The sequence below is a fragment of the Homo sapiens genome, chromosome 4 (assembly GCF_000001405.40).
Source record: "Homo sapiens chromosome 4, GRCh38.p14 Primary Assembly".
Lineage (NCBI taxonomy): Eukaryota > Metazoa > Chordata > Mammalia > Primates > Hominidae > Homo > Homo sapiens.
This window is the reverse complement of record NC_000004.12, coordinates 105328100-105354061: the sequence shown is the minus strand read 5'-3', so window position 1 is coordinate 105354061 and position 25962 is coordinate 105328100. Positions and strand designations below refer to the sequence as shown.

At 38.9% G+C, this 25962-nt stretch overlaps 1 long non-coding RNA gene across 1 annotated transcript in view; it reads left to right on the top strand.

Annotated features, from left to right (window-relative positions):
- Nucleotides 1-1180: 1180 nt before the first annotated feature.
- TET2-AS1 (TET2 antisense RNA 1) overlaps nt 1181-25962 on the top strand; it is a 181528-nt gene continuing 156746 nt past the window's right edge. The window contains exons 1-2 of the long non-coding RNA NR_126420.1: nt 1181-1382; nt 19561-19676. This is a non-coding gene — a long non-coding RNA (TET2 antisense RNA 1). The remainder of the gene's footprint in view (nt 1383-19560; nt 19677-25962) is intronic.

Below are 25962 nucleotides of genomic sequence, written 5' to 3'. Positions count from 1 at the left end.
ATCTAGCAAATTCTTTATGTGCTCAGATGGGAGGTTAAGTCTGGAGGTGACATTAGGGACACCATGTTCTTATGACCACCTAGCCATGGTTGATTGATCCAAGGTGATCACTTAACCTTTTCCCTTGACTGTACCCCCTGCTGAAATTGATTTATTCGAGACCTAAGCCTAAACTGAGCCAATCAAAAGCCTTACTTAGAAATCTGGAATTGAGACCAAGACATTACAACCCAGTCTTCCTGCTCTCTGGAACAAAAGAGATATAAATTCAAAATGGTCTGCACACAGGAAAATGAAACAGTCACACAGAAAAAGAAAACAAAATTGGTAGAAAACTCACATGTTTGAGTCTCTGATCCCAAGTATTCCTTATTTAGGCAGCTTCATTCTTGCCTAAGATCCTTAAATATGTTTGTAAAATTTATGCTAGTTCAAGTTAGGTTTCTATTACTTGCAACTCCCAACTAATACCAAGAAACCACATGCAGGTGATAACTGCAGACACTCGTCATGAATAAACTACCTGAGGGAGCAGGAAAGGAATGAGAGCAAAACTAACTTGGCATTGTGGGTGTCAGAGAAGCCAGGATAGGAACGGAAGGTTAGAGGGACAATTGTATCAAATGCTAGTCTCTCTCTCTCTTTCCTCTCCTCTCTCTCCTGGAGCTGGACACACTTCATCTCCTTCTTTTGGACATCAGAACTTCGGCCCCTCCAGCCTTTGGACTCTAAGGCCTAGTGGTCAAGGAAGATGAGGTCAGAGGAAAGCCTGCCGAATTGAGTTTTGGGAGTTCACTAGTAGCTTTAAAATTGTCTACCATTCTCAACAGACTAACTGTAATGAAATTTCAAAGTTAAAACTTTTTTGAATCTTGGCAAACAATGTTCCATCTTTTATAAGTCTCTTTTACTCAGAACACATGTTTAGTATGCCCGTATTTAATTTATACCTGTCTGTTAAACGGGTTGACTGCATTAAGTCTATGGTGGTGGTGGTGGTTCAAAATAGTCTGACCTTTTAAAGACAAGGTTACTGATTCCAGCTGAGTCATTCCCTTAGTCTTGAGGTTAGGAACCAGCTTAGAAACAGCTGAGAGTGACATCACTGTGGCCATTTGAAAAGGCAGAGAAAGAAGGGTACATCGGGCTGCTTCAGGAAGACTGGAATAGAGACCTTCACAGAAGAGAGAGGCCCCATATCAGAAGGAAGTGTGACCCAGAAGGATGGAGCTCTTCAGAGACAGGCTTCTTTGAGAATCAAGAAAGATTCAGAACAGGTGAATTGAGTAGATTGTGGCTTTTGGAAACTGAGTAACACAGTAGCAAATTGCATAGCGTTTTAAACACTGCAACCTGACTTAAGAGAGAATCCCCCTGTAAAGGTAAGGCTGAGGGATGGTCAGTATAAATACCTTAGGAAATGTAGGTTACCTCTTATCTACCCCCGGTCTCTTTGCTTTTCTTGTTACTGTGTTGTTCCATGTATTTGTGTTTGATAAGAAAATGAACCGATATGTGTAAAAGTGTGTGTATATGTGTTTGAAGGATAGACGGGAGGTTGTTGGTTGCCCAGATTTACATTTCTCCAGGCTTAAATCACCGTGCCTTTTACAGTAGCCAAAAGAGGCACACAGTTCTAGAAGCACTGACTGAGGGTCCAGAGGAGAAAAATTCAAAGATGTTCACTAATAGTACCAGAAAGACCTCAAGTCCCTCTGAGTCTCAGCTGTGGTCAAAGGAGGAAAATGCCATCCTAGATTTTTCTGTAACATATTTGGGACCTATTTGGAGAGAAGATAGAGGCATACAACTTTGAGTGCTTATAGAAAACACTAGTTTCAATTTGTACTGCATGTCACCTACTGACCCGTATTGCCCTCAGTATGAAATGTGTTGTTGCAGTGATCTCTAGCTGCTTTTTTGTTGTCGTTGCTTTTGAACCCCAAGTTAAGTATGATGAAAACCTTCCAAATCTGCCTAGATTACTGCCAAGAAAGAGATGGGTGCATACTGATCCCATGCCAGGCAAATGAAAAACTGGCAACATCCTGGGATGAGCTCTCCTGCTGCCAGTTTAGTTTTTGCTTACATGTGGCCAATGGTTGTCAACACTCATGATGAGGGGGTATAAGCATGAGCTTGTCACCTCAAAGGCTAGGTTACCAGATTTAGCATTGTTTAAAGAAGTAACAAGAAACACTAAAAGTTTAACATCTGACATGGTTGAATGTGGCTACTCAAACAATAATTTAAAAGAATTAGCAGTTCAAAAAAGTGATTCCTGACAAATTATATGAAGGAAAGCTAACTAAAAGTGCCATCTGTTATGATTAAAACTAGGTAAAATGTATACATGTATACAAACAGAACACAAAATAATACAGGAAAACTAATGAAGGTGATTTCTTGGAGTGATGGACATCTGGATGATTTTTACTAATTCCTGTTGATGTTATAATGTTATGGGTATAACAAATTTAAAGTAACCAAAATTGGTGGATTTACAGCAAGTGATGGTTTTTTGCTTGAAATACAATAAAAACGTCTTAACCTAAACCATTCTCATAATCATTGAATCAGAGTGGCCCAAGTCCAGATTCTTGTAAGCTAAGCAGTTATGTAGGATGATAGAGTGGTGAGGCCCCACATCCCAGGACAAAAACCAAAACAGCTCAGATATGGTAATAGGATTGCTTAAGTGGGGTTTTTTTCTCCATAAAGAAAGGCTAATAGCTAAACTCCAGAGCTGAGCTGTTGAAGAGTTACATGAGTAACTCTAGCCTTGTGGCTAGTTAGAAAGAGAAAAAAATATATGTCAATTTCATCTGGGAAACCATCCATAAAGATAAACAATAGGAATGGTCTAGTGATGACAAATTGTGCATAGCAAATTGACCAGAAAAAAGTCAAATTTTTCCTTGGGAGCAGATGAGTCTAACGTATTGGAAATATACATGTTCTGCAAAAGCAATTAGATCTGGAGTCCTTGAAAGGAGGCCAACTCAGCTAGAAAGCAGGAAGTTTCACTTCCCTAGACTTAATGATGTAGATGAAAATATGGATACTCTATGTCTGTCTGTTTACAATGAGCAGTTGTTTTGAGTATTAAACTCTAAGAAGACATGGCAATAACTTCTGTAAATCATAAAGCCTCTAGCTTAGATTTAGACAGCTTTAACAAACAGCAAGGTACATTAAAATTTTTGGATCTAAATTAATCTAGTGGTGAAAGGCACAAATTTTGGAGTCATGTAGATTTGGGCTTGAATTCCACTTTTTCCTATCTGCATGATCTCGGGTAACTTGCTTAAACTCTCTGAGTATGTTTCCTCATCTATAAAACAAAGATAAGGATAGTCTCTTAGAGACCATTGGGTTGTACTGAATGTATTCAGTAGATGACCTTATCTATTCAAGGTAATTTAAGAAGAAAGGAGAAATAATTGTAAAGATACAGGGTGCCTTATGAACCCCCAAGGACATGAAATGCGGTAGGCCTCAGAAACAAGTCAATCTAGGAATTGAAACATAGGCATCAGTGAGTACTGAGTGAGTTTGTCTTAGAGCCAAATGGTCTTTTGTCTCTACATCGTTTTTTATTCGCTCTAAAGACTTACAAATGGATCAAATATAGCCTATTACAGCATTTATTGGTTTTAATATTTTATATATCCAGCTGCAAATTCCTACAGATATAAATTTGATTAGCACAGTTTACTTGATATCAGGTGTCAACCTCTGGTCTAGTCAACTGTGACCTGGTGGATCAGGGTCTTGTCATATGAAGGTCTACCCCTTCCTGGAATGTGATGATAAGGTGGGAATAAAGAAAAAGTGATACCCATCTCTAAATTGAAACTTGACTTGCTAGGAACAGTATGAGGATCAAATGAGATAATGTATGTGAAGCATCTAGAATAGTGTCTACCTGATACATAGCTCTAAAATAGTCTGTGAAATAACGGGGCTGATGGACAAAGGCCAAAAAATCTCATTGGCTTAATCTTTGAAACCATATTTTGCTGCACCTGTCATCAGAGAAAGAAGCTCATAGAAACATTAGTCATGTCATACCTATGAACAATTATTTTCTTGTCCAAAGTGGTCACTCTGAGAAGGAGGCGTACCAGCAGCTGATGTGCTCAGGTTCTCCAACCTGGAGAATGCTTACATCTGCATCAGAGGCAAGACAGGGCACAAATGAAAGCTCCTTGCTTTAACATTGAAATTTTATTTACTCTTTTTCTTTTTTTTTTTTTTTTTTTTTGATATGGAGTCTTTCACTGTTGCCCAGGCTGGAGTGCAGTGGCATGATCTTGGCTCACTGCAACCTCCGCCTCCCGGGTTCAAGCAATCCTCCTGCCTCAGACTCCCGAGTAGCTGAGATTACAAGTGTGTGCCACCACTCCTGGCTAATTTTTGTATTTTTAGTTGAGACTGGGTCTCACCATGTTGGCCAGGCTGATCCTGAACTCTTGACCTCAAATGATCCACCCTCCTCAGCCTTCCAAACTGTTGGGATTACAGGCGTGAGCCACCACGCCCAGCCTGAAATATTACTCTTAACAAGCACCTCTGCTCTGGCTATGAGAAAGTATCTCTCCCAGGCAGAAAGAAGCAGGCAGTCTCCCAATGGACAAGCTTAGCTAAAACGCATGCTACTACCGAAGATAGGCAGTTTCAATCCTGCTTGAATTGGACTGTCAGTTTTTAGATTTTAAATATCCTCTTTAAGTAATGAAATTTTATAAAATGGGTATAATGCAGCTTTTCTGCTGCATCTGCAGCAGTTGTGGTGTTTAGAGGTGGTGCTGTCTATAAAAGCAAAATTATCTCAATAAACCTAAGTTCTATAATTGATATTGTAGGTAACTTTTTGAAAAAATTAAAAAATTCACTCACACTGAGTAGTTTCTCTTTTGTTGATTTGAATTTATTAATGTACCAAATTTTAAAAATGTCTTCTCTTGCTTAACTGTCAAGTTTTAAGAACAAAAATATAAAAGCAAAAAAGTTAGCTTCTCTCTGAAATGTTTTTAAGTGATATACTTGTGGGAGACATTACCTAATATATTTCCTTCTTTTCTCACTTGCAGCTTTCCAGTCTTTACCCTTTGGGTCTAAGTTCTACTTTAGTCTAAAATCAATATTTATTTTAGAAGCAAGGGCACCAATGCAGTTGTCAGGAAATGTCTCATAGAAAACCATGATGCACAGGTTCTGAGGGGAAATGTACCTTCTTGCATATGTTAGTGAATTGGCTATGGCAACTTATGGTTATAGGCTGGAGAATTTGGGGAAGAAACCCAGTCTTCCGCCTGGTTTAGAATAATATCAGGCATCTGTATTCTTCCTTCTGGGATCCAGTCCGCTTTGGTACAGACTTCCTGAAATTGCCCCAGATGAGCTTGATAAGACTGTACCTAGAGGGCCCTCCCTGCGGGGGAGTAAAGATAACTATGGTTTCATGGTGGATGCATCAAGTCTCACTGAGGTCTCAGAATTGCATGGGCATTGTGGATATGGACATCAGAAGTGCTCCTGTTAAACGGTTAGGGTTGGGTCAAGAGAGAGTGAAGGTAATGGCTTTACTGCAGATACTGGAGGAGCCTGCTCTGGGCCTTGCATAAGAGGCCCACTGTTTTATCAATGCAACCATCTTTCCTGAGCCTCACCCATGTATCCAGCTACCTTTCAGACTTTTCCATCTGGAAAATCCACAGGCATCAGCATGTCCAAAAATTGGACTTATGGTTTTTCCTACCAAAACCACGCGTCTTCCATTGGTGAATGGGGCTTCAGCCTTCATCCACTTACCAAGACCGGAAAGCCCAGAGTTATTCTTAGCAATTCCTCTCACAGTTGTCTTGTCTCCACATGCAGTTTCTTTCTCTCTCTCTTTCTTTTTTCTTTCTCTCTCTCTCTCTCCGTCCCTTCCCCTTCCTTCTTTCTTCTTTCTTTTTTTTTGAGACAGATTCTCACTCTGTCACCCAGGCTGGAGTGCAATGGCACCACCTTGGCTCACCGCAACCTCCACCTCCCGGGTTCAAGCGATTCTCCCGCCTCAGCCTCCCGAGTAGCTGGGATTACAGCTGCCCACCACAATGCCAGGCTAATTTTTGTATTTTTAGTATAAACGGGGTTTCACCATGTTGGCCAGGCTGGTCATGAACTCCTGATCTTAAGTGATCCACCAGCGTTGGCCTCCCAAAGTGCAGGGATTAGAGGCATGAGCCACTGCATCCAGCCTGCAGTTTCATTAGGACATGTCAATTCTACCTCCTAGTAAATTTTTGACTTTGTAATTTGCAGTATTCTTGGGCTACCTTTAAAGTCCACCTATTACAGTATTTTTTTTCTGTCTCAATTTAAGTCATGGTTAGTTTCCTGAAAGTGGGTCATTTAAAAAATAGACACATTAGTTTTCCATAGGAAAACACAGCATTTTGAAGTATATGTTCAAGTAGTTAAAATAAAATAGCCATATAGTACTTAGTAATGTAAATAATAAAAACAATTTATAGAAAAATAAATATATGAAGTTGTTTAATGAGAAACAATGTTAATGATAGTGCCCATACCAGCCACTGATTTAAGCTGAGATCTCCTCAAACCTTAATGTGCTTCCAAATCACTGTCAATCTTGTTAAAATGCAGATTCTGATTCACTTGGCCTGGGGTAGGGCCTGAGATTCTGTATTTCTGACAGGGGTCAATGATGCTGATGATGCTGCTGATGGTTAGAAGACCATATTTTCAATCGCAAGGCCCTAGCCTTACAACTCGCACTTATGCTAAATGTATCTCAAGGAAGTCTTGCCCCCAGACTATCTTTGTCTTACTGGGGAAAGTTTCAAATCTGTCTCTTTTTCTTTAGTATAGGGAACACTGCTCTGATGCCTTGGGTCTGGTGAAGCAGCACCTCAGAGAGATGACACATTCACATTTTTCATTGTAGGTGACAACCTTTATTTTTATAGCAGAGGTAAAAGCTTCAATTTGCATGAATCCCAGTGACATTAAGTGACATTTTACAGACATGTAAACTCTTGAGAGGTTTAAAAAAAACAACACTCTAGAAATTCGTGTGTTTACAGGGAATGAACCTTAAAACACCTCAATAGCAACTGAGAAATCACTTTGCAGCGTGCTTAGCCACTCTCAGCATGTGAACTTTTATTGCCAGCAAAAGACCCCCAAAATGTCAGATGATATGAATCATGTTATCCTGAAAACAGCACATGAATATTTTTCCCAGAATAATTGTGAAATTTTTCATTACTTTATTCTGAAAATACAGAGATATTCTAAAAGTTGTAAAAATTTGTTATTTTCCTAAGAGAAAATCTTTTTAATTGACACATACTAATTGTATATATTTATGGGGTACATAGTGATGTGATATATATAATGTAAAGTGATTAGATAAGTGTAATTAGCATATTCATCATTTCAAACATTTACCATTTCTTTGTGTTGGGAACATTCAATATCCTTTATTAGCTATTTTGAACCTATGTAACATAGTATTGTTAGCCATAGTCATCATACAGTGGTATAGAACACTAGAACTTATTCCTCCTGTCTAGCTCTAGATTTATAAAAATTTTTACACAAGATAATGCAATTTATGTGTTTTCACTTTGCTCTTTTTTAACTTAATGGTCTTTGGTTTTCTCATGTACTAGCGTGTATATATGTGTGTGTGTGTGTGCATATGTGTGTTAGTTTTTAGCATATGCAGTAATACCTACATAATGCTTATTTTCATACCTTTGTATGTATTCTGAAATTGTATGTAAAATTTTTTGGCCTGAGGTAGAGAGTTCATATCCATTAAATTAAAAAAAAACAATTCGATACCTGCATTAAATTTCACTATATTACTAACATTTTTTGAATGCTTCCGGTATACTAGATATAATATTAACTACCTTATATGCATTACTTCATTACATCCTGAGGCAGTATTTAATGTAGGATGATGTATAGCTAAGGTACAGAAGTGAGTCACTGCTTCTAGCTGTCATAGAAACCCATCCTGCCTCCATATTCAACTCTGTGGTTCCTTACTTGTCCTAGCATATACAGTGACAAAAACAAAACTTTATTTCTTATGAAACACAATTCTATAAAGAACTTATTACTTGTTGCTTATGGCAGAGGTGAAAAGAAAGAGAATGCAGACTAAGAAAATCATTTGGATAAATTGAAGTGAAATGTCATATTTGGCAGTGGTTTAGATGAGCATCATAATAACCAACTTCGTCATTGCAAAAGCACTTCAATGGTCATTCCAGTTTGAGTGCAAAAACTGCTCAAGTGAAACAGAAAGATACGATGAAAAATTAATAGTCATTTAACTGATGGTATCAAGACAGGTACAGGAAAGGAATCTCTAAGTGGCAATGGAAAGTTGTTTGAGAGAAAGCCAGGCCCTTCTATAAACACTTCCATGGTCATCAGATAGGGGGTTTGCAAGGACAAATCTCTTGTGAAGATCAAAGGCCAGCTGTACCAGATTGTTTGAATTGCTTCTCTTCTCTCTGTACTCTCTGGCACTCACCTAGTTCAAGCTTTTTTGGCTTCTCGTCTGGACTAGACCAGTAGACTCTCATTTGGTCTCACTGACACTAATCTCACTGCTCACATCCACCCTAACCCAACTCATGTTATGCTGGTAACAGAATCATCTTTCAAAATGCAGATCTGACTGTCATTCCTCTACAAATCCTTCAGTGAAGCTACATCAAACATAGGGTAAAGTCTAAACACCTTTTTGTGCGTTCAAGTTCCCCACAGCCTGGCTTTGCTTCCCTTTTCACTCCCTCTAACCCTAACCCTTAACTCTATGCTCCAGAAATACCTTATTACATCCAGTTCCTCAAATATACTAGGCTATTTCATCTCTTATGGGCATGTGCTACCCTTTTCATCTGGAGTCACTAGACCACCATGGGCATCATGAGCACAGGGGCAATCTGCCTTGCTTCTTAGTCTCAGAGCCTAGCACAGCCCTTAGGAGGTGCTCTACAATGTATGTTGAATAAATGTCCCTTTAGTTCTTCTCCCACCTCCTGTGTTACTGCTGAACCTAGCATATATCTCAGATGATGTGCTTATTACATCACATCGTGATTATTTATGCTCCTATTTTCTCCCACTAGGTAGTTTGTAATTTGTAAATTTGTAATTTAGCAAAGAGACAAATAAGAAATTGTCTTCAATTCCTTATTTGTCTCTTTGCTAAATAAGTATTTTGCATAGGGCCAATATAGAGCCCAATACTTTTTTTTTTTTTTACATAAATTAAGTATGTGACTTTTTCTTCTATTCATTTATTTATTTTGGGATAAATCCTCAAGCTGGCATTCCTCAGTCAAAAGGTATAAACATATTTTTGGTTTATAACACATATTTTCGGGTTGCTCTTAGGGTTTTATCTTTTAGGGGTGTTATTACTTTAGGATGTCAGCAGCCACACATGAATGCATTTTATTTTACTACCATGTCACTCATATTGGTTATATCAACATTCATTTTTTAAAAATTAATCTAGGAGGATTATGTGTGTGGCAAATGGTGTGGCAGATTGTTTCAAGATATATCTCTGCAGTTCTTGTAAACTGCTTACTTCTAAAAGAGAAAAAAGTAATGTGTCTGTTTGTTCAGAGTAGCAGGAAGCTCTGGGGTCTGCTGGATTGTATCCAGAAATTGTCTTCTCCACTTCCACTGTATTGGACTTATTTTAACCATTAAAAGTCAGTTCCTATGCATGTGTAGAACAGGTCCCTATTCCAAAATAATCTGAATATTTTTTACATAGGAGGTCAATCTAGGGGATAAGTTATTCTTCATTTCAATGAGTAAAGGAAGCAAAAACTCCTCTCCACTTTTCCTGATCTTATTAAGCAGTTTTCCAAAGATTTCTCATGCTCATTGATGGCTTCTGACTTTGGAACATTTTAGCATGATTAACTGATGTTTATCTAGTATTAAAGTCTTCTGGGTCTCATTTCTTCATTGTCATCTTCTACTTTGTGAGCTCTTTGGGGCAAAAACATTTCTAGTTGAATTAATCTAACACACATGCTGAGAACATACTTTCGAGTAACTGAATGAGGTCGGAGTTCTTACGAACAGTCTCTGCAGTGAAGCCTCTCACTGTTTCTTTCTGTAGGAATTTTGTGCTTGTAATAAAGTGCATAGGGGGCGGGGTGGGATGAGAGAAGCGCAGAGAAGGGGTAAAGGAAGCGCATGTGTTAGCTATTCCAGCTCTCATCATACTTTCTGTTTGGATAGCATATCACGTTTGGCTGGGGCTGAAAAACAAAATCCTATATTTAATGAGCCAATAAAATGCCTGGAGCAGCAGGGTCCTGGGGATGCTTGACTTTTCACCAAGCTAAAAGCCGATAATTGAGCCTGTGTGCCAGCTGAGACCTGGAGATTTCTACTGAAAGAGCCCTGGCTTTTACATTTTTTTCCATCTCCTGTGCAGCCAGCTTCTGATGAGGCCTCAGGTCTCAGATTCTCCAGAGAGTTAACTGCTATCACCTAAATTATTTTGATTAACCCTTAACTCTGAGAGTCTCAATTTACTGACATGCCACATTAATACTCTTGTGTAAATGTCTGCAGGGGAAAGTGATAAACCAGGTCTAATGCCAAGGGGCTGAGGGTGAGCCTTTGTAAGACATTTTTTTTTTAAGCTTGAAATAGAATTGTAACAGTTTCCGCTCAGAAATACACAAGGGAGAAGAAAAGGTTAGCAAGAAAGACCATTTTGTCTTATTCTAAACTAATCTCCCCCTCAAGTGACAAGTTTAACAGTGAGGTTGCTTAAGTGGAGATATATTTTAAAACACATTGAAGGGAGCCCTCTCCTTTATCATATTTTTAAACAGTTTTCGTAGTCTAATCCTTCTAAGAAAATGTTTAAAAACTAACAAAACATAGGCTAGTTCAATTAAATTTGTGGACTTAGAAGGCTAGCATTGTGATGGCTTTTGAGCTTGATCTAGAATCTGGATCCCAAGGAGGGAGATATGATAAAAGAATCAATCATATGCCCATAGCCCTCTGAGGTTTTGATAGATTTTTCAAGGAGTATAAAATGAACTTAAAAAATTATCAGATTCATATGTCAGGTTTACTGTGTAGCTGTGATTGCACATCCCCCAATTTTAAAAACAATAGGCAATGTATTTGAAGATGGTTCATTACAAGTTGGGTAGGTATATGACATTATGGGCTAGAGCAGCTATGTCAATCTTTTGCCATTTCATTTGCAAAGAGGTCTTATGCCACTTTATTCTTCTTTCATTTTAAAACATCTCTAAAGCATGTAGTATAGTTACGTAGCATTAAAAGTTGTGTTTAAAATAATTTAGTCAGGAAATTATTCCTCGCTAGCCTTCATTTGCAAACTATGTGTACACAAGCTGGCCAGTTTAGCAACTAACTCTAAAGACTTGTTTTCTAGAGCCAGTTTTGTCTTCTGTCCTCTTTGGTCCCTTGTAGTCCCTTTCTTCTGTATCAGTCGACTCTCATGTGAGTGTTGAAAGTCAAAAAACGCGACGCAAAAAAGCTACGCAAGGAGGTGAATGATAAGAGATGAGTGGCACCTGGAAAATCCTTCTCGGCTACCTCTAACTAACCAGGATTGAAGGAGTGTCTAGGCTGTTTTATGGATTTTCTCAGGTGCTCTTAATTACATGTTCTCCTCCATGATTGCAAAACTTTCCCCTTAAATTAGCCTCTTTTTCAAGAAGGTAGATATAAAAAACGTTTTTTCTTTGAGGAAGCAAAATTTTCATTGGCATCAGTTAAAAATTAAACTGAAATCTATCACCACTGAATAAAACAAATCAGTAATGGTTAATATAATGTAATTAATATAGTCATGTATTATAAAATAATTTATTAAAGTGAGTTCCTCTCAGAGATTTCCTTTAAAATTAAGAACAGATATCCTTGGCTTAGCTTTAAGTTTTGAAATCAAACGGCATGCCCCAACCCGTCCACTATTTCAATGGTTCTCAAACTGTGGTGTGCACGAATCAGACTCAGCTGAATTACATTAAAACACAGGTTTTTGGGCCTTCCTCTGGAGTTCCTGATTCAGCAAGTCTGGGATGGGGCAAGAGAATTTGAATTTCCAAAAATTCTCAGGTGTGAAAGGAACAATTCTAAAGATGCCTCACCAAGGAATCCCATCCCCTGGTTATTTAAGCAGCAATCTAGATGCTGCTGTGGAGGGACTTTGCAGAGGGAATCAATGTTACTAATCAACTGACCATAAAATAGGGAGATTAGCCCAGATTGCCAATGTAATCCAATGAGCCCTTGAAAGCAGACGAGGCAAACAGGAGAGGCGAGGCGGAAGGAGAGGTCGGAGCCATTTGGGGCATGAGAAACATTCAGTCTGTCCTTGCTAGCTTTGAAGAGGGAGGAAGGAGCTGTGAGCCAAGGAATGTGGTTGGCCCCTAGAAACTGAGAATGACCCCCAATGGCTCAAAGAAACAGGGACCTTGGTCCTATATGGAACTGGCTTCTGATACCCTGAATGATCCAAAGTGGATTCATCCCCAGAGCTTCTGGAAAGCAGTGCAGCTCTGCTGAAACCTTGATTTTGGCCTTGTAAAAACACTAAGCAGAAAACCAAGCTGGGTTCAGACTTCTGATCTACAAAAACTGTGAGGTAACAAATTTGTGTTATGTTAAGTCTTACTTAATTTGTGGTCATTTGTTACAGCAGCAATAGAAAATCAATGTCTGGTAATGCTGAGGCCGCTGGTCCCAGGGTTACAATTTAAGCATCACTGGCTTATTTTTTGAGAGTTTTGTATTACCAATTTAAACACTTCTGAAAAAGTTCAGCTATTTTCTTAGTGTCATTCTCTGAAACAGGGCAAACAAAAGTGAAGAGTGATATTATTTTGAATGAGATAGTATAAGTAAAATATGTAGAACAGTACTTAGTCCTTGCTGAATGTTCAATAGTAGATATAATTTCTAATAGATATCACTTATGAAAATGCTCCATGCCGGGTACTGTGCTGATTATTTACCATGAATTTTCCCAGTTAATTCTTATAATAACCCTATGAGGTAGATACTGTCATTCTTCTTGTTTCACAGATGTGCAAACTAGGACTCAGGAAACTTGCCCACAATCAGGCAAGTCAGTAAAATGGAGGTAAGATGTGAACCTAGGCAGTATGGCTCTGAATCTAAACTCTTAGTTGCTATTAACTTCTTATACGGTTATTTCATATCTGCTTATGCATTCTTATCTTACTTGCCACTTGAGCTACACATTTCTATATAGTTTCACAAAACAATACAATGTAAGCTATACAATTTATTTTTTTTTTTTTAGATGGAGGCTTGCTCTGTCGCCCAGGCTGGAGTGCAATTCCAGGTGGCAGAGGTGAGCAGAATAACCTGAAAAGAATATCCTCCATAAAAGAATTCAAACTGACAGAACTCTACCACATTTTCAATGGGTCTGCAGATCATGGAAAGGTTTTGTGTCAGAGGCATGGGCATTTAGAAGGTGGCAGAGTCTAAAGGTGCAGGCAAATGTTGGAAGACTGTGATGTCATCTCTTCCTACAACCCTTCACATTTTCAATAACATTACCAAATTCACAAAATCATTGACTGGACTTTCATGGAAAATGACATAGTGAACGTCTTCACGTTGGCTGGTGTAGGCTGGATTGTAATGGTATCAACATGCTAAGATTGACGATGATTAGAGGTGACCATAAGAAAATGGAATTGGGAAGTCATAGAAGTTATGTGGTGAATTCACATACACAAAAAGTGGCATATTCAGCACTATTCACAATAACAAAGATAGGGGATCAACCCAAGTGTCCATCAATGAATGAATGAAGGAAATGTGTTATATATACACACAATGCAACACTACTCAGCCATAAAAAATGAATGAGGTGTCATTTGCAGCAACATGGATGGAACTGGAGTGGTGCCATCTCAGCTCACTGCAACCTCTGCCTCCCAGGTTCAAGCGATTCTGCTGCCCCAGCCTTCCGAGTAGCTGGGACTACAGGTGCGCACCACCATGCCCAGCTAATTTCTGTATTTTTAGTAGAGACGGGGTTTCACCATATTGGTCAGGCTGGTATCAAATTCCTGACCTCGTGGTCCACCCACCTCGGCCTCCCAAAGTGCTGGGATTATAGGCGTGAGCCACCATGCCCAGCCAACTATACAATTTCTTTCTTAAACTTTGCTAACATGGTAAAGCATATTTATCACTTATCCAGTCAATATCTTTTAAACATATACTGTATATCGGGCATGGTGCTGGGACTGTGCTTACAAACTTGTGAGTGGTCTCTGGTCCTGTTGAACTTATAACTAAAATTAGGAGCTATTAACATACTTGACAGAGAAACACTGTAGAGTCATTTCTAGTAAAACAGAAATAGTACGGCAATGCTATCATCATTATTTGGCACAATTCTTGTAGTGCTAGCACCACAACCAAACTTGCCAGATTTACCAAATAAAAATACAAGGCACTTAGTTAAACTTGAGTTTCAGATGAACAACAATTTTTTAGTAATAGTACTCTAAAGTATTGCATAGAAAAAACTCATACTAAAAACTTATCAGTTTACCTGAGCAAACAATTTTTGGTCCTATTTCATCTGGCTACCCTAAATGCCACTACAGAAATGGACTACAGCTATCTATTATTTGCAAATAATCACCTGGAAAACTATTAGTGCCAATAAAATTAAGTTAAATGGCTGGCTATAAGATATTAAAGTCAATGGTTTTTACATATACTAACTGGTTATACAGTAGGAAAAAATAAATAACAATAAAAAATACAGATGAAACTTACCAATAAACATGTAGGATAATATGAAAAAGACATATGAGGGCTATGAAAAGATTCTTGCAAGAATGTATGGGAATATGCTGTGGATTCAGGCATCAATGCTTTTCAAATTAAATGGCATATTTAATGCAATCCCATTGAAGATTCTACTGGTATTGAGCTTGGGAGTGAGATGAGGGAATATTTGCGAAATGACTCTAAAATTTTTTGGACAAGTAAAGTATGATAATAGCTTGAAGTCTGCAAAAGAGGAGTAAAAGGGGTGAAGACATGGGCAGACTGAATTTGGTTCAGGAGAGCCAGGTCTTGATAAACAGAAGTGGGATTTTAAGTTCAGCAACTGTTTGTATAAGCCTTTTGGAATTGGGATGTAAGTTCCAAGTATAAAGGGTTGTGGTGTAGCACAGGGAAGCCCCAGAGTGGACAGGATAGTGTTGCTGGGCCACAAGCCCCTGCCACTGGCATATTGAGGTGTAGGCAAAGAAAGCTACACTGAGGTATGAAACGTTTGCTCAGCTACCTTACGTCAACCAAATTGGATAACTCAATTAGGAAGAGGGGGGTGCAGGTGTACTCTTCCTGCCAATTGATGGCCCACCTGAATATCTGCAAAGATATGTCACTATGCACTCATTTTAAAGGGGAGAAGACATGACATCGAGACAAAAATCTCACAAAGCAAAATATTTTTATATTTGACTTTAGAAAAATAAAACACATACTTAGGTTGAAAAAAAGTCAATATCTAGCAGACAAAATGCCAATATTTCTAATATAGAAAAAAATGTTAAATTTTGTACAGAAAATACACAATAGAAAAATCGATGTTTACAAAAAAAGCTATAGGAATGGCCAAAAAACAAAAAGTTGTAAATACAACAAGATTCTATTGATTTTTTTTTCCTAAGCAATCAGCCTAATAAGGGAGGAGGTAGATAATCCCTTATCTGCAAAGGATAAAGGACACTGTAATAAATTGTTGGATTTTAAAATGTATGTCAAGAGCTGGAAAGCACCTGAGATTTTTACATTCCTGGCACAGCCAACAGGTTAGGCCATAACAGTTTCATGGATGCCTGGGCCAGAGACAAAAACTTTATTACTCACAACAACAGCAATAGCCAGAATAGCAACATCTTCTTAGGCCAATTTCCTAAGCCCAAAGGGACAAGGTGACTCTTTACCTGGAATATGCTACAAGGAAATTATTAGAATAGGGTACAAACGTAAGTGCACATAGGCATAAATATATTTGCATTGCAGCATTATTTAGAATATTAAAATTTAGAAATACATGTGTCTTTTTAAATGATGGTATATCCATACAAGAGAATATTAGGAAACCATTAAAATGATCATGTAGGTCTATATTGACATGAATTTAAATATCTGAAATGTTTATGGGAAGGTGTTGTGAACTGAATCATGTCCATCCAAAATTTGGTCTAGCCCCCAATGTGACATAAACATTTATAAAAACAAGATTCTATTGTTTTAAAAACTATCAGGCTGGGCACGATGGCTCACACCTATAATCCCAGCACTTTGGGAGGCCGAAGCAGTGGATCAGGAGTTTCAGACCAGCCTGGCCAACATGGTGACACCCTATCTCGACTAAAAATACAAAAAATTAGCCAGGTGTGGTGGCAGGTGTCTGTAATCCCTGCTACTCGGAGGCTGAGGCAGGAGAATCACTTGAACCTGGGAGGCGGAGGTTGCAGTAAGCCAAGATTGTGCCATTGCACTCCAGCCTGGGCAACAAGAGCGAAACTCCATCTCAACATTTAAAAAAAAAACTAAAACTATCAGTCTGATGTGGGAGGAGGTAGAGAATACTTGATTTGCAAGGGATAATGGGCACAATCATAAATTGTTCGTGAAAATGTGCATCAAGAGCTGGAAAGCACCTGAGATTTTTACTGTATTTGGAGACAAGGCCTTTAAGTAGGTAATTAAGGTTACATGAGGTCAAAAGCTTGGGGCCCTGATCTGATAGGATTTGTATCCTTATAAGAGGAAGAGAGAGACACCAGAATATTGACTTTCTACAGTAAACATATGTGTCTTTTATGGTCAAGCAAAAAAAAAATAAAGTTTTCATTTTAGGGAAAAAAGGAAGTGCCTCTTGAAGCTAACCTCAGTATAACTCCATTTTTCTTTACCTTTCTGGTTTGTCACATTTCAGCTACTGTTATGATTGTTATGAGATCCAGAGATAATTTCTTTTTTAATCATAGTTAGTACTTTGGAGTAGGTATAAAAGCAAAGGCAGTCTTGCACATCCTGTTAAGGCAAATTTTTTTTTTTAGTTAGTACACAGAGAAGGCTTGTGGGTTTTGTTTGTTTTTTGTTTGTTTGCTTGAAATGGAGTTTCACTCTTGTTGCCCAGGCTGGAGTGCAATCTCAGCTCACTGCAACCTCTGCCTCCCAGGTTCAAGCTATTCTCCTGCCTCAGCCTCCCAAGTAGCTGGGATTACAGGCATGCCCCACCACGCCTGGCTAATTTTTTGTATTTATTAGAGATGGGGTTTCACCATGTTGGTCTGGCTGGTCTTGAACTCCTGACCTCAGGTAATCCACCCGCCTTGGCCTTCTAAAGTTCTGGGATTGCAGACGCGAGCCACTGTGCCCAGCCCAAAGGCTTGTTTTTTTATGAGCTGTATCACTAAACATCCTGCCTTATTCAAAGGAAGTATTTCCATTATAATTGGTGTTGGCCTAATTATAGCATCCTACCATTTCCATGTAACTTTGATATATTAATTTCTTTTATTTTATCACATTTATAATAGTCCAGTTATGCATTTGTGGCCCTAGTTGTTGGCAAGGAATGAGACATGTAACCTAGATGTCACTTGGGATTTCAGTTTCTTGAAGGTTTAGGTGACTTGGGCTCAAATTCTCAATATGCTAGGTTTTCTTGTGGCATGTATAGAATGCGCAATGATTACGTCAGGGTATTTGGGATATCTATCACTTATTTGTGTTGTAAACATTTCAAGTTCTCTCTTCTAGAGACTGAAATATACAGTATGTTGTTGCTAACTTTAGTCACCCTGCTCTGCGATGGAATGTCAGAACTTGCACCTTCTATCTCATTGTATGTTGTACTCATTGACCAAACTCTCTTCATCACCCCTCCCACCCATATATCCTCCCCAGACCCTGATATCTATTACCCTACTTTCTACATCCATGGGATCAAGTTTGTAAGCTCCCATATGAGTAAGAAAATGAGAAATCTGTCTTTCTGTGCCTGGCTTATTACACTTAATAACCCCCAGTTCCATCCATGTTGCTGCAAATGACAACTCATTCGTTTTTTATGTCTGAGTAGTGTTGCATTGTGTGTATATATAACACATTTCCTTCATTCATTCATTGATGGACACTTGGGTTGATCCCCTATCTTTGTTATTGTGAATAGTGCTGAATATGCCACTTTTTGTGTATGTGAATTCACCACATAACTTCTATGACTTCCCAATTCCATTTTCTTATGGTCACCTCTAATCATCGTCAATCTTAGCATGTTGATACCATTACAATCCAGCCTACACCAGCCAACGTGAAGACGTTCACTATGTCATTTTCCATGAAAGTCCAGTCAATGATTTTGTGAATTTGGTAATGTTATTGAAAATGTGAAGGGTTGTAGGAAGAGATGACATCACAGTCTTCCAACATTTGCCTGCACCTTTAGACTCTGCCACCTTCTAAATGCCCATGCCTCTGACACAAAACCCTTCCATGATCTGCAGACCTGTTGAAAATATGGTAGAGTTCATCAGTTTGACTTATTTTACGGAGGATAGTCTTTTCAGGTTATTCTGCTCACCTCTGCCACCTGGAATTATGGAGAATGTACATTTTTCCATTTTGTTGCACTGGTGATAATGAAATGTAACATTACCGAAGCTCATGCCACAAATCAGTGCCAGGGGTGATAGGCTCATTTAACAGATGTTTATTAGGCATCCTCCGAATATTCAGTATGAAGTACTGGAGATACAAAGATAAGACATAGTCATGGGAGAAATATTTTAAAAAGCTTTTTCCTTTTGGAAGAAATGTTATAAAGTTACAGAAATTAAGAAGGAAGGCTTTTGGAGATCACCTGTTTCAACCCTTCATCATTGTACAGATGAGAAAAGTAAGGGATAAGATCATACAACTGGTGGCAGAGCTGGGATTGATACATGTGCCTTCAGTCTCAGTCTAGTTCATTTTCCTGGACATCATGGAATATGGAAGATGTCGATCACATTGAGGATACAAATAAGGATACAAAAGTGGGCTGGAGAAACACCAAGGGGGAAAACGCAAGATGTTTACAGAGAAGAAATAAAACAAGCAGGGCCTCCTACTAAGAAAAACTAAAAGAGGACATGACAAGTAACAAGACAGTGGTGGGTTCATTTGAGTAGGAATGGTTCACCAGCCAAATGAGGCGTGATGCAAAGACAGCGAACATAGGTATGTGTGTTAGCAGGTGGGAAAAGAAGAAACATGAAATCAGTGCTTCCCCAAGCTTGATAATGTTCCATCTTGATTGTACCCAAAATTTCTTATGTCAGTCTTCTCAATATGGGCCATGAAAGTAGAAGTTGGTAATTTTTGAGAGATTGAGCATCTTTGTGAGATTTCTTTTACTTTTTTTCTTTCTTTTTGAGACAGGGTCTCACTCCTGCCACCCAGACTGTAGTGCAGTGGTGATCATGGCTCACTGCAGCCTCGGCTTCCTGAACTCAGGTGATCTTCTCCCTCAGCCTCACAAGTAGCTGGAACTACAGGTACATGCCACCTTGCCTGGCTAATTTTTTTGTATTTTTAGTAAAGATGAGGTTTCACCATGTTGCCCAGGCCGGTCTTGAACTCCTGGGCTCAAGCAATCTGCCTGCCTTGGCCTCAAACTCCTGGGCTCAAGCGATCTGCCTGCCTTGGCCTCAAACTCCTGGGCTCAAGCGATCTGCCTGCCTTGGCCTCCCAAAGTGCTGGGACTATAGGCATGAGCCACCATGCAGGATTTCTAAGGGTTGAAAAAATGAATGGAATGATTTAAAAAAAAAAAAGACTTCACTTTTTCTCAAAAGATTTGTTGGAATCACGGGAGTAGGTGCCAGAGCTTCAACTAATAAAGTTAAATATGACTGTTAATCCAGGCACTTTAGAGACATGTATAGTATATGATTTATATGGTCCAGAAGTTTCACAACACTGGAACGCTTGGAAGTGGTGATAGGGAGAAATTGGAAATGTGGTTAGACTTTTGTTTACTCCCTAGTGCATTAAAAATGGGGAACACCAATTATGTGAAGGATATTTCTACCTCTAGTTTTGTAGTAGTTTCATTCTCAATTAGTACACAAGTTGTCCTTATATGAATTGGTAACTTGGGCCAGTTATAATCCAATTTTTTAAAAAAAGATTTATTGCTTGTAGGGAATAAAAGCCCACTTAAAGTAGAATGCATACATTTAGGAATAGAAAACAAAGTAGAGCAAGGTCATGCAGAAACTAGAACTGGAAATTCAAAAAGTTAAGATGCTTCCTCTGTCCTTTAAGTCTACGTGTTTTTTTTTTCAACTGCTACATAATATTTGTACATGTTTAGAGGGCACATGTGATATTTTGATACATGCATAGAAAACATCAAGTGAGGTTATTTATTATATTGAACACTTTTATGTTGGTAACATCTCAAATCTTCTAGATATTTTGAAATATACAATATATTGTTAACTATAGTCACCCTACTGTGCTGTCGAACACTAGAGCTTACTTTTCTATCTTAACAGTATGTTTGTACCCATTAACCAACTTCTCTTCATCCCTTCCTCCCAACCACACACCCTTCCAGCCTCTGGTAACTATCATCCTACTCTCTACTTCCATAAGATCAACTTTTGGTTCCCACATATGAGTGAATACATGCAATATTTGTTATTCTATGCCTGGCTATTTCACACAACATAATGACCACCAGTTCCATCCATGGTGCTGCAAACGACAGGATTTCATTTTTTATTATGGCTAAATAATATTCCATTGTATATATGTGTGTGTGTGTGTGTGTGTGTGTGTGTATATAACATTTTCTTTATTCGTACATACATTGATGGACACTTAGGTTGATTCCATATTGTTGCTATTGTGAATAGTGCTGCAAAAAACATGGGAGTGCAGGTATCCCTTTGAGATACTGATTTTTCTTTCCTTTCCTTTGGTTAAATCCCCAGTAGTGGGATTTCTGGGTCATATGGTAGGTGGCTTGTGTGGTTTGCAGCAGTGGCAGTAGCAGGCCAGCAAGGCCAGTCCCGAAGTTGGTAGGTTGTGTGGGTGGTGATGGTGGCACCAGGCAGTGGAATCCTATTCTCAGGCCCCCAGATAGTGTGCCTGTTCAGACCGTGGTGGATGGGGAATCTTGAGTGCAGGTGGCAGGTGTTCTGGTCCTGTTGTTAGGTCCTCTGATGGTCCACATGTGAGCCAGAAGCCACAGGCAGGGCATGTCAACTCCTAGGCCCTTGGGACAGTGTTCTTGGATGCCGGTGGCAGGCAGGCTGGGACTTTTGTCCAATCTGCATGTTCATCAGTGTTTATCAATATCTCCTACTAAACCTAAATGGTTTCATCAGCACATGCCCATTATGGCTGCATGACCCAATTCCACATGCTGCTGCTTCCAATTCTTGTACCCGTCATCATATTTTTTATTTAGTCTGCCTTACAGCTCAAATTCTTGAGGGAGAATCTGGCTCACTGTGCTCAGTTTACATCTTCATTTCCTTTTATAAAGTTGCCACTGTTGGTCAACTCAGTCGTGACTACAGAGGAGGAGTTATAATCAACCCTTTGCTGGTTTTAAGCCCTTTTCTCCAAGGGAATATGGTTTGCTGTTTCTAAGGAAACTCCATGTGATTGGATCTGTGATCTAAGTTATCTTTTTCAAGCTTGTAGTTTTGGATAAAAAAACTCATGATGCTTTCTAATTCATTAAGCATTTCTAAGCAGTCTTTTGGTCTGGGATTCAGATTCAGGCTCTCTTTAGTGAGCACTTAAGAAATTTAGAATATGAGATCTCACAAGGGAAGGTGAAAAATTGAAAGCACTGGAAATGTGGGACTTTTTCTCCTTAAGCTATAAAGAGCCACAGTGCTGCATAATATACTTAATGTTGCTGATTCTTTAATGTGGCACCAATTTAAAAGAAAATCAGAATGGATTTTTTTTATTATACTTTAAGTTTTAGGGTACATGTACACAACATGCAGGTTTGTTACATGTATATAAATGTGCCATGTTGGTGTGCTGCACCCATTAACTTGTCATTTAACATTAGGTACATCTCCTAATGCTATCCCTCCCCCAGACCCCCACCCCACAACAGGCCCCAGTGTGTGATGTTCCCCTTCCTGTGTCCATGTGTTCTCATTGTTCAATTCCTATCTATGAGTGAGAACATGCGGTGTTTGGTTTTTTGTCCTTGCGATAGTTTGCTGAGAATGATGGTTTCCAGCTTCATCCGTGTCCCTACGAAGGGCATGAACTCATAATTTTTTATGGCTGCATAGTATTCCATGGTGTATATGTGCCACATTTTCTTAATCCAGTCTATCTTTGTTGGACATTTGGGTTGGTTCCAAGTCTTTGCTATTGTGAATAGTGCCGCAATAAACATACATGTGCATGTGTCTTTATAGCAGCATGATTTATAATCCTTTGGGTATATACCCAGTAATGGGATGACTGGGTCAAACGGTATTTCTAGTTCTAGATCCCTGAGGAATCGCCACACTGACTTCCACAATGGTTGAACTAGTTTACAGTCCCACCAACAGTGTGAAAGTGTTCCTATTTCTCCAAATTCTCTCCAGCACCTGTTGTTTCCTGACTTTTTAATGACCGCCATTCTAACTGGTGTGAGATGGTATCTCATTGTGGTTTTGATTTGCATTTCTCTGATGGCCAGTGATGGTGAGCATTTTTTCATGTGTCTGTTGGCTGCATAAATGTCTTCTTTTGAGAAGTGTCTGTTCATATCCTTTGCCCACTTTTTGATGGGGTTGTTTGTTTTTTTCTTGTAAATTTGTTTGAGTTCATTGTAGATTCTGGATATTAGCCCTTTGTCAGATGAGTAGGTTGCAAAAATTTTCTCTCATTCTGTAGGTTGCCTGTTCACTCTGATGGTAGTTTCTTTTGCTGTGCAGAAGCTCTTTAGTTTAATTAGATCCCATTTGTCAATTTTGGCTTTTGTTGCCATTGCTTTTGGTGTTTTAGACATGAAGTCCTTGCCCATGCCTATGTCCTGAATGGTATTGCCTAGGTTTTCTTCTAGGGTTTTTATGGTTTTAGGTCTAACATTTAAGTCTTTAATCCATCTTGAATTAATTTTTTTATGAGGTGTAAGGAAGGGATCCAGTTTCAGCTTTCTCCATATGGCTAGCCAGTTTTCCCAGCACCATTTATTAAATAAGGAATCCTTTCCCCATTGCTTGTTTTTGTCACGTTCGTCAAAGATCAGATAGTTGTAGATATGCGGCATTATTTCTGAGCACTCTGTTCTGTTCCATTGGTCTATATCTCCGTTTTGGTACCAGTACCATGCTGTTTTGGTTACTGTAGCCTTGTAGTATAGTTTGAGGTCAGCTAGTGTGATGCCTCCAGCTTTGTTCTTTTGGCTTAGGATTGACTTGGCAATGCGGGCTCTTTTTTGATTCCATATGAACTTTAAAGTAGTTTTTTCCAATTCTGTAAAGAAAGTCATTGGTAGCTTGATGGGAATGGCATTGAATCTGTAAATTACCTTGGGCAGTATGGCCATTTTCATGATATTGATTTTTCCTACCTATGAGCATGGAATGTTCTTCCATTTGTTTGTATCCTCTTTTTCTTCATTGAGCAGTGGTTTGTAGTTCTCCTTGAAGAGGTCCTTCACATCCCTTGTAAGTTGGATTCCTAGGTATTTTATTCTCTTTGTAGCAATTGTGAATGGGAGTTCACTCATGATTTAGCTCTCTGTTTGTCTGTTATTGGTATATAAGAATGCTTGTGATTTTTGCACATTGATTTTGTATCCTGAGACTTTGCTGAAGTTGCTTATCAGCTTAAGGAGATTTTGGGCTAAGACGATGGGGTTTTCTAGATATACAATCATGTCATCTGCAAACAGGAACAATTTGACTTCCTCTTTTCCTAATTGAATGCCCTTTATTTCCTTCTCCTGCCTGATTGCCCTGGCCAGAACTTCCAACACTATGTTGAATAGGAGTGGTGAGAGAGGGCATCCCTGTCTTGCCCAGCACCATTTAGTAAATAGGGAATCCTTTCCCTATTTCTTGTTTTTGTCAGGTTTGTCAAAGATCAGATAGTTGTAGATAAGTGGCATTATTTCTGAGGCCTCTGTTCTGTTCCATTGGTCCATATCTCTATTTTGGTACCAGTAAATCATAGATTTTTAAAGAAGTATGTATTTGACATGACGCGCCTCCCAAATAAAAGCTAGTTTGAGAAGGAGATGAAATGAAATAAAATAGGTCTGTAGTAGGAGGTTGTGCCAACTTGGGAGTGGGGGTAGGTTTTTTCCCCTTGTCTATAGGTTTAGTAAGTGGTGAAATCAGAGAATTCCATTTTCTCCTTTGTGGAGATGTTAGAGTCTAATGCAAGGCATCATTTGTGCCTCTTAGTAATGTCTGCAGGATTTGATGGGTCATGATGAAGCATTTTATTGATTACATTATGAGAAATGGATTCAGAAGTCATCAAGACTTTTAGTTCCAGGATGGTTCCTGTACATGCAATGACAGGCTGGCTGTTCACTGCAGCTAACACTGAGTACTGTGGCATGCCCAATTACAGTCCTGGTGAGAGATCTTCAGGGAGGTAATTGTGGTTTCCTTCATTGCCTTCATGTGGCCTCTGAGTGAGGAGCCTCACAATTCCTTTCACAGTCTGGAGCAGTAAGTGCACTAATGTAGCTAATGGTAATTTTGACTTCTCTTGTCTACTGAATTGAATCAATGCTCCCCAATCTCTTGAATAAAACAATTTCCCACAGATGCCGAGCAGCTGTTGTTGTCCAAAGATGCTCTGAGAAGGACAATCAGGGGCTAGAAACTCTGTTTTTCTTCATTAATTGAAAACAAAACTCCCTCCTAGGAAGGGGAGAGCAAGAAGAAGTAAATGAAAGAGAGAGCCAGAAAGGATGGAGGAATGTAAGGAAGGAGGAGTATTGTAAGCAGCCTGCCTACAGAGGCTGTATTCGAAGACCATCCAGCTCTCTTGTGCATGCTACAATTGAAAATGGTTAATGGAGTACTTTGCATCAAATAGATTTCTTAAAGAGGACATAGGAGATAAGCATTATGGCTATTGGAATTTAATCCATTTGCCAAAAAGAACAAAAGTGATCAGAGCTGTCTGGGTGGTTTCTGATATCTTAACTACTGCTTATTATTTGCTCTGCTAATAATTTTCTGCTTTCACATGTAGAGCCCCTATGTGTAGAGGATGAGGTAGAAGTAGCATGAGTTGTATAATTTTTTAAAAAACATCTTCTATCAAAAAAAGCTTTTGTTTTACCTTATATTCTCCTAATTGTCTCCCTTAGTCATTGCAAGAGGAGGGCAATGGGCAACAGTGCCAACCAGCTGTGCTGGGGAGGTAGCTGGTGGGAGACTCAGTGAAAGATGGTATGCTCAGACATCCAGTTTAGTTACAGTGGACTGATAGGTCTGTTATTTTGGGAATTTGATAGTCTAAAGGTAATAGTACATGATGTATTTCTACTAAATTTTTCCAACTGTAGCTCATCTTTTACATTTTGAATCCTCACAGCAAAAGAGACATCTTCAATGACTAAGTCCTGAGTGTTTTTATCCCACTCAAAGAGTAGAATAGGCTTTCCTGCTGATTCTGCCATAATATATGGGAACCACTCCTGTAATGGAATCAACACCTCTTTTGCATTAAAATAAACCACAATCCCAGTTCCTAACAGTGGAAATAGAAAACAGCTGGTGAAAACAAAGTGGTATGTGCAAGCCAGCTTTGAGGAATTATTCATATTCATTTTCAGAAGCA